The sequence below is a fragment of the Homo sapiens genome, chromosome 7, assembly GCF_000001405.40.
Source record: "Homo sapiens chromosome 7, GRCh38.p14 Primary Assembly".
Lineage (NCBI taxonomy): Eukaryota > Metazoa > Chordata > Mammalia > Primates > Hominidae > Homo > Homo sapiens.
Window position 1 is genome coordinate 20626932 of NC_000007.14, and position 16202 is coordinate 20643133.

The following is a 16202-nucleotide window of genomic DNA, read 5'->3' on the forward strand; positions in this document are numbered from 1 at the left end:
GGGAAATTATCAGTGACTTTTACTATCTATGTTTACATTTCAGTATATTCCAATGATTCTGCATTGTTATGTGTTGTTATTATTTTTATAGTGTTACAAATCCTTTTAAATCAAAAATAATTATCTAAGAATTTTTTAAAGCCTATGTATCAGATAATGTGTCTGTACACTTCTTTGAAATCATGTTTAAGGAGCGTTTCATGCATGTGTTCCCAGACATGGTCTTCACCCACTCTAATCTCTGTGTCAGCCTGGCTGTCAATGTTATGTCCCTACAAATATACATGAAACAGCCTGCTTTTTCAAAAGTCAATTTAAAAAAAACTGAATAGTAGCAGAACATGACAAACTTTATCAAGGAGATAACATTATTCTGGAGGAAGGTAGAGGAGCAGATACTCTCTTAATGTCCGTAATGCTGAATGCAATGCTGTGGAAGTAACACTATAAATATTTATTAGCTATTGCAACGATGAATGGAAAAATAATATTTTGGTCTCCATTCATAAAATATGCAGTAAGTTCCTCTTGCTGTTATTAAAATCTAATTACATTTTAATACCATTTAAATTTTATTTTGGCCTCTCTCGGTAATATAAACAATCCATATTTTCAATTTTGCTCATGATTTGGTTTTGGACAGATGCTATGGGGACCTACTACAGAATAGAATATAAAGCATTCAATAGATGGCTTTCAGGCATTTCTTTCTTATTCAAAACAGCCCTTAAAATTATCATTGACCCCCTTAAATATCCTATTTACAGGATAGGCATTGTTCTGTGTAGAAAAAAAAATCTAAGGAATTTAAAATAATCACAAATATAATTCATTACATTTTTACTAGTTAGCTCTGGTCACTGCACTTAGCCATGACATTGCCATGATGCCGGTGAGCCAGAGCGTTGAAAATGTGCAGATCAGCTTTCCATAAACTAAGATATTGTTGTTGCAGTCTTCAGAATATCTTAACTTATTCCAAAATCAACCAAATGGAATAAAGTTTCTGATTCATACCCACATCTGACCTGACTTGTGTCAGGTATCTACAATTTGTACTGATTTAGCTGCTTTATTTATTTTTATTATTACTATACTTTAAGTTCTAGGGTACATGTTCACAACGTGCAGGTTTGTTACATATGTATACATGTGCCATGTTGGTTTGCTGCACCTATCAACTTGACATTTACATTAGGTATTTCTCCTAATACTATCCCTCCCCCAGCCTCCCACCCCACAACAGGCCCCGGTGTGTGATGTTCCCCACCCTGTGTCCATGTGTTCTCATTGTTCAACTCCCACCTATGAGTGAGAACATGCGGTGTTTGGTTTTCTGTCCTTGTAATAGTTTGCTGAGTATGATGGTTTCCAGCTTCATCCATGTCCCTGCAAAGGACATGAACTCATCCATTTTTATGGCTGCATAGTAGTCCATGGTGTATATGTGCCATATTTTCTTAATCCAGTCTATCATTGATAGATATTTGGGTTGGTTCCAAGTCTGCTATTGTGAATAGTCAGCTGCTTTGTTTTTTAATGCCTTTAAAGGAGATGGTAAATTCTTAATTTTGGTATTTGTTTTTACTTTAGATATAAATACATATCTATGATTTTATGCACTTATTTACCATCTTAATGTATAAAGTCATGTTTACTAGGTGGCAAAGGCTGTAGGCTGTTGTGTGTGTGTGTGTGTGCTTGGTGTGTTTGTTTGTTTTACAGTTGTGGTGCTACCGTGCTTTGTTTTCCTCAGTTCCGCTTTGCTGATGGACTGGACATCACACTCATGATCCTGGGTATACTGGCATCACTGGTCAATGGAGCCTGCCTTCCTTTAATGCCACTGGTTTTAGGAGAAATGAGTGATAACCTTATTAGTGGATGTCTAGTCCAAACTAACACAAGTGAGTATACGATTATTTTTCTGTATCACTTAAGACACAAAAGCATTGAATAAAGCAAACAAACGTTAAGCTAGCAAGGCAGATTATTGTATTGTAAAACAGTATCTGTATAATATGTATTTAAGTCATTTATTCTGCCATATTGCTGGGCACTAAAGAAACAAAATCTTCATGACCACAGAGGTCTATAATTGAATTAAAATAAATAAATAAATAAATAAGAAACAAAATCCCCTATTAGTCAGGGTTCTCCAGAGAAACAGCATGGATAGGATGTGCGTTAGAAACAAAGAGAGAGAGAGACTGCGTGTGTGTGTGTGTGTGTGTGTGTGTGTGTGTGTGTGTGTAAAGAGTGAGATTTTAAAGAATTGGCTGGCTCACATGGTTATAGAGGCTGGTGAGTTCAAGAGGGTGGGCTGGCATGCTGGGGACTCAGCAGAGAGCCAATGTTGCAGTTCAAATCAGAAAGCCATTTGCTGACGTTACGTAGGAATCATCTGAAGCCCACAATAGTTCAGCTTGTCTCTCTAAGAATTCAAATAACTTTTTATCAGAAGTGGTGATTACATCAGGATTTAATCAAACGCTTGGGCCATCCCAGGCCACTAGGATGTAACACATCCTTTAAAAAGAAGAAATCAAGGCCGGGTGCAGTGGCTCATGCCTGTAATCCTGCACTTTGGGAGGCTGAGACCAGTGGATCACCTGAGGTCAGGAGTTCGATACTAGCCTGGCCAACATGGTGAAACCCCGTCTCTATTAAAATACAAAAAATTAGCCAGCCATGGTAGCAGGTGCCTGTAATCCCAGCTACTCGGGAGGCTGAGGCAGGAGAATTGTTTGAACCCAGGAGGCAGAGGTTGCATTGAGCCAAGATTGCACCATTGCACTCCAGCCTGGGCAACAAGAGCGAAACTCCATCTCAAAGAAAAAAAAGAAGGAGAAGGAGAAGAAGAAGAAGAAGAAATAATCAAGTATGATCAAATCTTTCAGTTTAGTAGCTACTTAGGTTTTTGGGGGTTTTTTGGTAGTAGTTTTTAGCCATGCATGGCACTATATAACATAATGCAGAAGAGAAGCAGAAAATTATACAACTAGAGACAGATACCCTGAATTGGTGGTGAGAGGAACTAGCAATTAGGTGTGGAAAAGGTGTTTTCATATTGCTCTTATCTGTAGGCATCTTTCGTGTATCGTTTGTAGCCTCCTATTTCAGGGTCATGTCTTTCAAGGTGACATTATTCTTTAGGTTAAATTCCAGTGATTTTCCTATGCACTGATGTAATGACTATGCAGTATTTTTTATCTGGTGGATATTATAAATATTAGTAATTTCCTGATTTTATATGCTTTTCCCCAAATTCCACACTGGAAGTATTGTTATAAATACTTATTATAACTGGGAAAAATAACTCATTACAACCCAGACTGTCTTTTCATCAACATTAGCCTTTCTTTGTTCAGTCTACTTCCCTCTGTGCTCTATTTGACTTTAAATTCTAATTTATACCTAAATTATACCTTCTTGTTTTCCAAAAAGCAAATCTTTAAAGCAAAAAAAAAAATCTTTAAAGCAAAAAAAAATCTTTAAACTCAAAAGTAAATCTTTTACGTGTGCTAATCTTGAGTGGGATAAACCCATTGCTTCCATCTCTGTCTTTCCATGATCTCCTGCTTAAACAGTTATGATTTTTTAAATATTTTAATAATATGAACAAAATTAAGGATATAAGTGAAAATCTGATATATTAATGATGTAAATTGATGCATATGCTAAATAATTTGTTGTTAAACAAATGGAGCCAATTCACTGAGTAAACATTTATTGATTGTCTACTACATCTCCATGAACAAATGAATGAATGAATGTGTGAGTAAATGGGCAACCTGGCAACCTAAGGCCATCTGCTTGGGCGTATGCTTTTTGTTAAGTTTATTCTGTAATTGATTGCCTTACCTGTTTTGGATAGGCTAGGCACTACATATCTAATTGCTATTGCTGTGAATTCTAATTTTTCTTGTTGTTCAAGGCTTCGCCAGTTTCCTGGTTTTATTGAATGTGGTAAACATATAGAGAAGTTCAATAATGATTTACATAAATTCATGGATATTACTGGTATATTATAACACATTGTTAAAGAGAAGTAGGGATATTAAGAGGCAAATCTTCAACCTTCTAACATTGGTTTTCCGGAGGATAATAGAGCAGGATTATTCGTTCCTATAAATAAAAATATGAATAATAGCTATCATTAGTTGGGGATCCATTTTTGTGTGAGTCCTGAACTTTCCAAAATATTACCTCTATCAATATAATCTACACACTGAGATTATGCCATTTTTATAAGACTGCAGGAACCATTTTTAGAAACAATGTTTATTTCCTTTATTTGCTCAGTTAAATCTCATTGAAATCTCCATTTCTGCCACATGAATTTTGGTATTTTTTCCTACCACAATTCCATAAATAGAATAAGGGAGAAATGATTGTTTGCATATAAATAAAGATCATAAGCATTGTAATATGTGATGATGTTATGGTTATAACAGATGAAGAGTCATGATGTCTGCAGTTATTTCAAATGTTGATTATAGAAGTTTAAGGAATAAAATTATAATCATGGATATCAACCATGGTTTTGTGTTATTGGTGAAATCAGGACTTTGGTATATTAATCAGTGTACAATATTTTTTTCTACTAGAAGATATATAGAAAAGTTTACAGAGAAAACTTATAACCTTTAAACATTGTTATTTATACTCAACATGTTTCACTGAGCTTTCCATTTTTCCCATGGCTAATTCTTCTAGAACTTTCACACATGTTCTTGCTTTTTTTGGACTTCTGAAATCATTCCCTGGAGTGTTTCAAACTTAATTTAAAGTGTATAATCTCAGGCAGAAGCAGGGAATTTTATAACTATTACTTTCCTGATTGTTGTCTGATCAGAGATGTCCCAAATAATTCTTTCCAGTTATGAGCTACATGGTTAATGCTTCCTTACATTTTTCCAAGCCGCATGAGTACTTCTTGAGAGCAGAGATAATTATTTCCAGTTCTAGGTTAAAGAATAGAAAATGAGATGATAATAAACTGCGTGTGGGCAGTAAATCTGTTGTCTTAAGAGTGCACTATATTTGGTTTGGAGGGCTATCTGTGTAACAGTGTGACCAATTATAAATTAATTTCCTCTATATTTTAAATAACCTTTTTTACAGCAAATTATCAGAACTGTACTCAGTCTCAAGAGAAGCTGAATGAAGATATGACTCTGTAAGTCCAAATGAAACGTTAATATCACATTCGTTGAATGATGCTTTATTTAAAGCTTACAAGAAAAAAGCAACTGAAATTTTGTATGACCATTAATATTACATAACAAATGATTAAAGCAAACATTTCCTCTTCTTTCATTAGGTATATAAAATACAATTAGTACATATTTTTTCTTCTACTTGAAAGGTGTATAGGTCATATGCTTTGAGTTGTAGTTGACAGAGTTGTCATCAATTTTAAAATTGTAAGGATTTGCATTTTTGTAGCAATTTTGCCTCCTAGTAATATCCTGGGAAAGAAAGGACTTGATTTTCCTTCTAAAAAATTATATTTCTTATGAGCCTCATTGAAAATTCTATTTCCTTACCATTTGACCCAGCCATCCCATTACTGGGTATATACCCAAAGGACTATAAATCATGCTGCTATAAAAACACATGCACACGTATGTTTATTGCAGCACTATTCACAATAGCAAAGACTTGGAACCAACCCAAATGTCCAACAATGATAGACTGGATTAAGAGAATGTGGCACATACACACCATGGAATACTATGCAGCCATAAAAAATGATGAGTTCATGTCCTTTGTAGGGACATGGATGAAATTGGAAATCATCATTCTCAGTAAACTATCGCAAGAGCAAAAAAACAAACACCGCATATTCTCACTCATAGGTGGGAATGGAACAATGAGAACACATGGACACAGGAAGGGGAACATCACACTCTGGGGACTGTTGTGGGGTTGGGGGAGGGGGGAGGGATAGCATTGGGAGATATACCTAATGCTAGATGACGAGTTAGTGGGTGCAGCGCACCAGCATGGCACATGTATACATATGTAACTAACCTGCACATTGTGCACATGTACCCTAAAACTTAAAGTATAATAATAATAAATAAATAAATAAATAAAAAGAAAATTCTATTTCTTTAAACATTAAAAATCAACAAATAGTAAAAATAATAAAATACTTCTTAACATAAAAATAGTAAGGTTTTACTCACACTAAATTTGGAGACTAATTATTCAGACTATTATGGTAAAGTTGTATCCAAACAAAAAATTGTAAAGTATGAATAATAAATAATTTATAAGGATGTTCTGTTTTGTAATTTTAGGTATTAAACAGTGTGATTTATTTACTCAACATGTTCTGAGTTTCCTAGGTAGACACTACCTTTCTCAGTATATTGACTGGATTTCTGTACTGCCTCACTAAAGCTTTCTGGGTCTTTACTCTAAACCTAAGTGATTCCTATTCTTTTCCCCCCAAAATGAAGACACCATCTTGTCAAGGGACACCCATCACATTGCAGTGACATCTTCTGGGCCTTAATTCTTTTTTTAATTAAAAAAATTATAATTGACACACAATAATTATACATATTTATGAGGTACCTAGTGATGCTGTAATACATATAACGTATAGTGATCAGATCCGATTAATTAGCATATTCATTATCTCAAACATTTGTCGTTTCTTCGTATTGGGAATGTTCAGTATCTTTCTTCTAGCTATTTGAAATCATGTAATATATTATTGTTAAGTATAGTCATAGTTAACTATAGCACTATAGGACATTAGAACTTATTTCTCCTATCTACCTATAACTTTAGCATTAACAAATATCTCCTTATCCCTTCCTTCTCTCTACCTTTCCCAGTCTCTAGTATCCTCTGTTCTTCTTTAGTTTTAATTCCTAATATGCCCTGTCCAATATTTTAGCCATGGCCATTTGTGGCTATATAATTTTGTTTATAGATTTAGGGGGTACAAGGGCAGTTGTGTTACATGGATATATTGCATAGTGGTGAAGTCTGGGCTTTTTGTGTAGCCATGACCCAAATAGTGAAACTTGTAGCCATTAAGTAATTTCTCATCTCTTACACCCCCTTTTACCCTTTCAGCCTCTGAGTCTCCAATGTCTATTATTCCACTCTCTATGTCCATATGTACACATTATTTAGCTCCCACTTATAAGTGAGAACTTGTGGTATTTGACTGTTTCTGAGTTATTTCATTTAAGATAATGGCCTCTTGATCCATCCATGTTGCTGCAAAAAAAAAACAAACCATGATCTCATTATTTTTATGGCTGACTAGTATTCCATGTTGTGTGTGTGTGTGTGTGTGTGTGTGTGTGTGTAAACATTTTCTTTATCCATTCATTCACTGATGAACACTTAGGTTGAGTCCATATCTTTGCTATTGTGAATAGGGCTACAATAAACATACAAGTGCAGGTATCTTTCTGGCACAATGATTTCTTTTCCTTTGGGTACATACTCAGTATTAACACTGCCAAATTGAATGGTATTTCAATTTTTAGTTCTTTGAGAAATCTCTATACTGTTTTCCATGGAGGCTGTACTAATTTACGTTACCCCCAATAGTGTATAAGTGTTCTCCTTTCTCTGCATTCTCACCAACATCTGTTATTATTTGGCTCTTTAATAGTAGACATTCTGATTGGTGTACGACAGTGTTTCACTGTGGTTTTATTTGCATTTCTCTGATGATTACTGAGGTTGAGCATTTTTTCATATGCTTTTTGGACATTTGTATGGCTCCTTTTGAAAAGTGTCTGCTCATGTCTTTTGCCCACTTTTTAATGGAGTTATTAAGGTTTATTTTATTGTCATTGTTGAGGTGTTTGGGTTCCTTGTAGATTCTAGATATTAGTTTTTTGTTGGTTGCATAGTTGGCAAATATTTTCTCCCATTCTGCAGGTTGTCTTTTCACTCTGTTGATTATTTCTTTTGCTGTGCAGAAGCTTTTTAATTAATTTCCATTTGTCTATTTTCGGTTTTGTTGCATTTGTTTTTGAAGTCTTAGTCATGAATACTTTGTCAAGGCCAATGTCCGGAAGAGTTTGTCCTAAGTTTTCTTCTAGTATTCTTATCACTTCAGGTGTTAAATTTAAGTCTTTAATCCATCTTTAGTTGATGTTTGTATATGGTGAGAGATAAGGGTCCAGTTTTATTCTTTTGCTTACAGATTTCCAATTTTCCCAGCACCACTTATTAAATAGGATGTCCTTTTCCCAGTGTATGTTTTTGTTGGCTTTGTTGAAGGTCAATTAGTTGTAGGTATGTGGCTTTATTTCTGGGTTCTCTATTCTTTTTCCTTGATCTATGTGTCTATTATTATACCAGTACCATGATATTTTCGTTACTATAGCCTTGTAGTACAATTTGAAATCAGGTAGTGTGATACATCCAGCTTTGTTCTTTCTGCTTATAGTTGTTTTGGTTATAAAGGCTTTTTTTTTTTTTGGTTGCATATGAATTTTAGGACTGTCTTTTCTAATTCTGTGAAAAATGACATTGGCATTTTGATAGAAATTGCATTGAATGTATAGATTGCTTTGTCCAGTAAAGTCATTTTAATGATATTGATTCTTCAGATCCATGAGCATGGAATGTTTTCCCATTTGTTTGTATCATCTGCAATTCCTCTCATTGATGTTTTGTAGTTTTCCTTGTAAAGATCTTTTAATTCCTTAGTTAAATATATTCTTAGATATTTTTTGTAGCTATTGTAAATGGGATTGATTTCTTGATTTGATTCTCATTTTGATCATTATTGGTGTATAGAAATGTTACAGATTTTTGCACATTGATTTTATAACCTGAGTCTTGACTGAATTTGTTAGCAAATCTAGGAGTATTTTGGTGGAATTGTTATGGTTTTCTAGGTATAAGACCATATCATCAGCAAATAAATAATTTGACTTTCTCTTTTCCAATTTGGATGCCTTTTATTTCTTTCTGTTGCTTGATTGCTCTGACTATAAATATGAATTGATTAAAATTAAAATTTAAAATTCAGTTTCTCATTCTCAATCACATGTCAAGCATTAATAATTATATCTGGCTGGCTGCCATACAGTACAGCATAGATACTGAACATTTTTTTCATCATGGAAAGTTCTATTGGATAGTGTTGTTCTGGGCTACAATGTGAATGATGCTCCCTTGAATTGAGTTTTGCTGCAGCCTCAACTTTCTTTGGCTTAAAGTTCTTTTCTTAGCTAATTTTACATAAAATTTATTTATATTGGATCTTTTGAAAATTCTTGATTAGGATCTAGGGTAGTGTTTCATACTGAATTTTTGGTCTTACAGTATTAAAGCAGGGCTCTGATGTACAGTCACGAAGGATACTTTTTTTTACAAAAAGTTTAAAATTTTTTTAATAGGAGCATCCATTTAAAAGTAGACAATAAAAGGGACAATAAGATGAAAAGATATGTCTATGTACAGTTATGTAAGGGCTACTAAATTTATAAGGAAACATACTTACCTTTTATAGTACTTGTTATACCATTATTTCTTTTTTTAAGACTCATTTAAATAATAAGAAATTTATTACTGAGACCAGCTGCAATGGCTCACTCCTGTAATCCCAACATTTTAGGAGGCTGAGGCAGGCAGATCACTTGAGGTCAGGAATTCAAGACCATCCTGGCTAACATGGTGAAACTCCGTCTCTATTAAGAATACAAAAATTAGCTGGGCATGGTGGTGGGCACCTGTAGTCCCAGCTACTCGGAAAGTTGAGGCAGGAGAATCACCTGAACCTGGGAGTTAGAGGTTGCAGTGAGCTGAGATCACACCACTGCACTCAAGCCTCGGCAACAGAGCAAGACTCCATCAAAAAAAAAAAAAAAAAAAAAGGAAGGAAGGAATTACCTATAATATTCAGTACATTATTATTAATTATAACTATTAATGTATTCAGTATGTTAATATTTTTGAAATATTTGAGATACATATTAAAGAAGACTCTTCAGTCAAATTGGTTTGGAAAACATTATCTATGACAGCCTTCTATCCGATACATAGGATACATACATGACAAATACGGATAGTAAAGGCTTCATTTAGTTAGCTTGATTTAATCCAAGTTTTCCAAACCTACCAATATTTGATTGTGGAACATAATTTATTTCTGCTAAAATTGATTAGCATCTGTGGAACTAATATTTTAATGAACATATTTTGGGGACACATTGATTTGCATAATTTTTTGAGTATAAGGTAATAGTACTTCTTCCGTCTGTAATAATCAGGAACTAAAGAATTCTATTCTACCTGTTATTTTCCAAAGAAAGTGACTCAGCTTTATAATTTTAATGTTAAGTCTATGCCCCTGTCTAATTTCTCAGAAAATTTTTCTAAAAATAGTTGAATCTTTTCTTGCTGACTCCAGACTGAAATGACTAAATAGTGCCAGGACTACTGCTGGTCAATATGATGCCTCCTCTTTTGCTGCCAAAAGTTGATTACTTAATTTTTTTTTTTTTTTTGAGATGGAGTTTTTGCTCTTGTTTCCCAGGCTGGAGTGCAATGGCATGATCTTGGCTCACTGCAACCTCTGCCTCCCGGGTTCAAGAGATTCTCCTGCCACAGCCTCGTGAGTAGCTGGGAATACAAGCATGAGCCTCCATGCCTGGCTAATTTTGTATTTTTAGTAGAAATGGGGGTTCTCCATGTTGGTCAGGCTGGTCTTGAACTCCCGACCTCAGGTGAGCTGCCCACCTCGGACTCCCAAAGTGCTAGGATTATAGGCGTGAGCTGCCATGCCAGGCCTTGATTACTTAATTCTATGTGAACTTCTAAGCAACTTAATCCTTTTCTTTTGCTACTTCTAATGTATCTAGCATAACCTACTTGAAAGAGAAGGGGCAAACTAGACAGCCAACTCCGTGTTAGATTAGCATATAGTAAGTGCTCAATAAATGAAGCCATTAAATCAATCTTAATATGGGTGACTTTTGGAATCAGAAAGCTAAGGCCTCAAGGGTGGCTTCATTTCTTGATGCAAAATTAATTGCCTGGGCTCTGGGGCTGCTGAAATTCTTCTTCTCCATCCCAGGTAGTTTGGGAGTCTGATTACTAGATGAATGTGGAGTTAATAAGTAGAGTCCTTCCATGTGGAAAACTCGAGTGTGTTGTTTTGTTTGTTTGTTTATAAGGAATAGTTTTTTAAAAAGTGAGTCAGTGCTTCTATAAAATTATTTAAATTATTTTTTCTGATTAAATCATATTTTCACTGCAGAAAATGTGAAAAGATACAAATGCACAAAGAAGACAATTAAATCACTTATACATAATCCCAACACTAATAGATAAAAATATTAATTTCTGTTTATATTATAGTATATTTACATGTATAGTGGTACATATATAATTTTAGTGCAATTGTACTGTTTATATTATTTTTAATATCTTTGTTGATGTATAATTTATTTAGCATATAATTTACCAGTTTTAATTGTGCAACTTAATGATTTTTAGTAAATGTATGGAGTTGTACAGCCATCATCACAATATTTTTAGAACACTTTTATCCTCCTACAAAGATCTTCATTTGCAACCAATCCCTATTCCCATGCCCAGCTTGAGGCAACTCCTTATCTGCTTTTCATCTCAAAAGATTTGCATATTACTGACATTGTATATGCATGGAAATATATAATATGTAAGGTTCTTGTACCTGGCTTCTTTTGTTTGGCATACTGTTTTTGAGGTTCATCCATGTTGTAACAGGTAGGAGTAGTTTATTCCTTTTTATTGCTTAGTAGTAATCCATTGCAAGGCTGTATCACATTTTGTTTATCTCTTCACCAGCTGATGGACAGTTGGATTGTTTCTACTTTTTGGCTATTTACAAATAATGCTTCTGTGAACACTGATGTACACTTCTTTGTGTGAACATACGTTTTTATTACTCTTGAGTAGACCTAGGAGTGGAATTGCTGGGTCATATGGTAAATTTAGGTTTGTCTCTTTAAAACACTGCCAAACTGTTTTTTCAAAGTGGCTACACCATTTTACTGTCCACCAGCAGTGTCTGAGGGTTCCAGTTTCTCCATGTCCTCATCAACACTTGTTATTGTCTGCCTTTTTTATTACAGCCATTGTAGTAGGTATGAAGGGGTATTATAATATGACTTTAACTTGCATTTCCCTAGTGACTAATGATGAGCATTTAATGTACTTTTTATCTACTCATATATTTTCTTTGGTGAAAAGTCTATTCAAATATTTTACATATTTTTAAATTGTGCCATTTGTCTTCTTATTATTAAGTGGTAAGAATTCTTTATAAATTCTGATTGCAAGTTCTTTGTTGGATATACAATTGGCAAATATTTCTTCCCCATCTGTCAGAGTGTACACTTTCTTAGAGGTTTCTTTTGAAGGACAAAGTTTTTAACTTCGGTAAAGTTCAGTTCACTAAGTTTATTTTTATGGATTGCACTTTTGGGTGTGGGAATTTTTTGCCTAACCCAGGATGATGAAGATTTTCCTTTACATTTTCCTGTTCAAATTGCAATGTTTTAACTCTTAAACTTAGGTCTATGATCCATTTTGAGTTAATCTCTGTGAATGATGTGAGGTAATGGTTTAAATTTATTTTTTTTGCATGTGGCTGTCCAGTTGTCCCAGAACCATTTGTTGAAAAAACAGTCTTTTCTCAATTAAATTGCCTTGGCACCTTTGCTAAAAATCAACTGCCAATAAATGTAGGAGTCCGTTTCTGTTCTCTAGGCTCTGTTGCAGTTATTGACATGTCTGTCTTTATGCCAGTACTGCACTGTTTCGATTACTGTAGTTTTATAGTTTTAATAAATAAACTCAGGAAGTGTAAGTTCTCCAAATTTGTTCTTCTTTTTAAAAATTACTTTGGCTATTCTGAGTTCTCTACATTTCTATATGTATTTTATGATCACCTTGTCAATTTCTACAGGAAAGCACACAGGAGAATTTTGACAGGGATTGCATTGAATCTATAGATAAATTTGGGGAAGATTGTCATCTTAACAACACTGAGTCTCCCAATCCATCAACATGGATTGTCTCTTCATTTATTTAGATCTTCTTTAACTTCTCCTAATAATGTGTTGTGGTTTTCAGTGTATTCATCTTACATTTATTTTATTTGGTTGTTGCAAACCTTTTCCCTACAGCATTAAAAAAAATTCAACAAGATGATTTGTATTAAGCCTGTAGTGTTCCATCCTATCCTTGAATAGTCCCTCTTACTAGAAAATACAGTAAATTATTTATGATAGTTAATGTTCTATTAAAGTTTCTGTGAAAATTGAATTATCAAATTCTGAAGATTACTCTTAGGAGAAATACAGTGTTAGGATCCTGTGAACCTCTGGTGACAAACTTTTCGTCAACCAAATAATACACAACCTCACTTTATGTGTGCTTTTTTTTAAAGACACCTTATTTAATGTGTGTTGGTGATTCTTTAACATTGAACTCATGGTCAACAGCACTATATCTCACTCCTGAATGAAACTTATCTGACACACCTGTTTTCTAGATAGGGCACGTCACAGCCTTCTTGCACTAAGGAGCGCTAGCCATCAGTTCAGTGTGATGCTTGGGAATCATTACAAATAGCAAAATCATCAACAAAAAGCACAAAAATGAGAAAAACTTGGCACTAAATAAACCACGAAAATAACACTTGCTTACAGTACAAGAGCTGAAACAAGAAGGCAGAGTACGTGTGCATCAGGCAAACCAAATTTTTGGCCACTCTGTGCATGTCCATAAATAACCATGAAAACACCACAAGTATTGACTTGGGACTTAGAAAAAAAACTTTAGCAAGGAAGCAGATTTGCAAATACAGGATTTTCAAATAATGAGCATCAATTGTATTTTCCTCTCCCGTGTTGCTTGGTACTTCACTCTCCTGGATTTCCAACTACCTCACTGGCCTCTTGGCAGATTCTTTCTCTTCATCCCAAGCAACATCTTTGCAGAGTCACTAACAGTCCTTGGCCCTCTTCTCTTCTTTTCCTATACTTAATTCTTCCTCTTCCTGGGTGTTCTCAGCCAGTCCCTTTGTTTTAATTACCACCTGCCTATAAGTTACTGCTTTCAAATCCACATCCCCAGCCTAGACCCCCTCTCTCGTGCTTCCATTTCTCATTTTCAGCTTCTTACTTGATCTCCATTTCGAGGTTTAACAGGCATTTCTGACTTCACAAGTCTAAATGTGAACTCTATGTCCTGCAAATCTTGTCTTTGTCCCAGTCTCTCACATCTATAAGTGATACCCTCATCACCAGCTGCTCAACTCAAAACCTAAGAAGTTATTCTTGATTTCTCTCTTTCCTACATTCCTCATATCCAATACATTGGCATTTTTTTCAGGAAGAATCTATTAAACAAAGATTATTTTATTATTGCAAAACACACACACACACACACACACACAAACTATAAAACACTAGTGTGCACCTGTAGTCCCAGCGTTATGTACCATCAGTGCCAGCTACTCAGGAGGCTGAGGCAGGAGGATTCCTTAAGCCTAGGAGTTTGAGGACAGCCTGGGCAACATACCCAGATCCCGTCTTTTTAAAAAAGCAAATAAACTATAAAGCACTAAGAAATCTAAATATCCATGCTAGAGCAAACAGGTGGCAATTGAACATCCTGGGTCTATAGTATGCTTGAGGGAGACTGTGACTGATTAGATCCCCACAGTAGAGAGAACATCTTCATAGGCAAACGGGGGCTTACCTGTAACAGCTGTTCAAGTTCTCTCTTCTCAGCAAGAATCATGAAAGGTACTTAATTCAAGGTGGGTGTACAGTCTGATGCTCTTCAGGCAGGTCAAATTCTCATAATCTAGAGGACTGAATGGAAAGTACTTTTCTTTTTCAAGATAGGTGTCATTGGAGGCAGGAATGGAGCTTTTTGCTTTGACAGTCTTCCCCGTCATGTGTCTAGCAGAGAAAGTTGGTTGTTCTTGTTCAGGGCGTCCATTAGTCTGGCAGTTTTTGTTTCCAAAATACACCTAAAATCTATCTGCTTCTTTTCATGTAGGCCGCCATGATCCTCCTCCAGGCCCCCATTCTTCTCACCTTGGCCAGGGCGATAGGTTCTTAACAGAACTTCCTGCTTCCATTATTTCTGCTTTCATCCGTTCTCCACAGAGAAGCTGGAGTGGTCTTTTAAAAAGTTGAACAGATAATGCCATCCCATGCTCAGATCTTCCAAAGATCTTCTGCTTCTCCTGGAATAAAACATGAACAGTGCACTGTAAAAACCCTAGAATATGCCAAATTCTCCAGCCTCATTATTTCTTACCACTTTGGACTTCTTTTGTTTCTGGAATGTGCTAAACAACTTTTTTCTGACTCAGTCTCTCCTGGGAGAAATATTTTTCCTCTCCCTGGAATGCACTTCCTGCTCTTTTTATGGCTGGCTTAATTTCACGTTTTGGATCCCAGCTATAATATCACTTCCTCACAGAAACTTTTCTTGACCACTCTATTTATCTGCACTAGCTCTCCCAACCCATGTTTACTCACCAGTTATTCTGTGGCCTATCCCCCGTTTACTTCCTTCCTAGAAAAACCTATTTTTTTTTCTCCTTGTGTATTGTCTGCCTCCTGCCAGAATTGGAGGACTTATTATCTTGCTCATGGCTGTGTCTCTAGACCCTCACACATAGTGGGCACTCAGTATACATTTATTAAATAATTACATTTCTTATCTGATCTCCTCCTGTATAATATTTGGATTGTTTTCAGCTTTTCTATATTGTTACAAATGCTGCAAAGACCAGTTATATAGATGAATCTTTGTATATATTACCTTAGGGTGAATTCCTTAAGTTGAATTTGGGGCTGACTATGTATAGTTTTTAAGCTTTTTATCAAATGCTTTTGACTGCTATCATTATTTTTTTACCCTCCAGTTCCACCTACAATTACCTTGATTGACTCAATGGAACTTTTTCATATGAAAGTATTAAAAATACTGAAAGAAGATATAAGTAGCAAGAATGTTTTAAAATACTAATTTCTGATAATAATGTAAAAGATACACTCTATGTTTTACCAGGAAACCTAGATCATTATATTCAATGCACTTCACTCTCATGGCATGTTATTTTTAGTTCTTTTTCTAGTTCTAGCATAAATTTCCTCAATCAAATACTGTGATCGATTTTTTATGTGTGTAAC

General features: G+C 35.0%; 1 protein-coding gene across 1 annotated transcript in view, besides 1 other annotated feature; it reads left to right on the forward strand.

Annotated features, from left to right (window-relative positions):
• Positions 1-16202, forward strand: part of ABCB5 (ATP binding cassette subfamily B member 5) — a 141342-nt gene that overhangs the window by 11265 nt on the left and 113875 nt on the right. The window contains exons 4-5 of the mRNA NM_001163941.2: positions 1757-1907; positions 5128-5182. Of these exons, the coding sequence (NP_001157413.1) occupies positions 1757-1907; positions 5128-5182 (206 nt within the window). The remainder of the gene's footprint in view (positions 1-1756; positions 1908-5127; positions 5183-16202) is intronic.
• Positions 14554-15753: an enhancer, noted in NCBI's record as "CDK7 strongly-dependent group 2 enhancer chr7:20681108-20682307 (GRCh37/hg19 assembly coordinates)". NCBI's record gives its function as "activates an origin of replication core promoter dependent on BRD2, BRD4, P300/CBP, MED14 and CDK7 cofactors, with strong dependence on CDK7, by STARR-seq in HCT116 cells {active_cell/tissue: HCT116}" and the evidence as "EXISTENCE:reporter gene assay evidence [ECO:0000049][PMID:35650434]".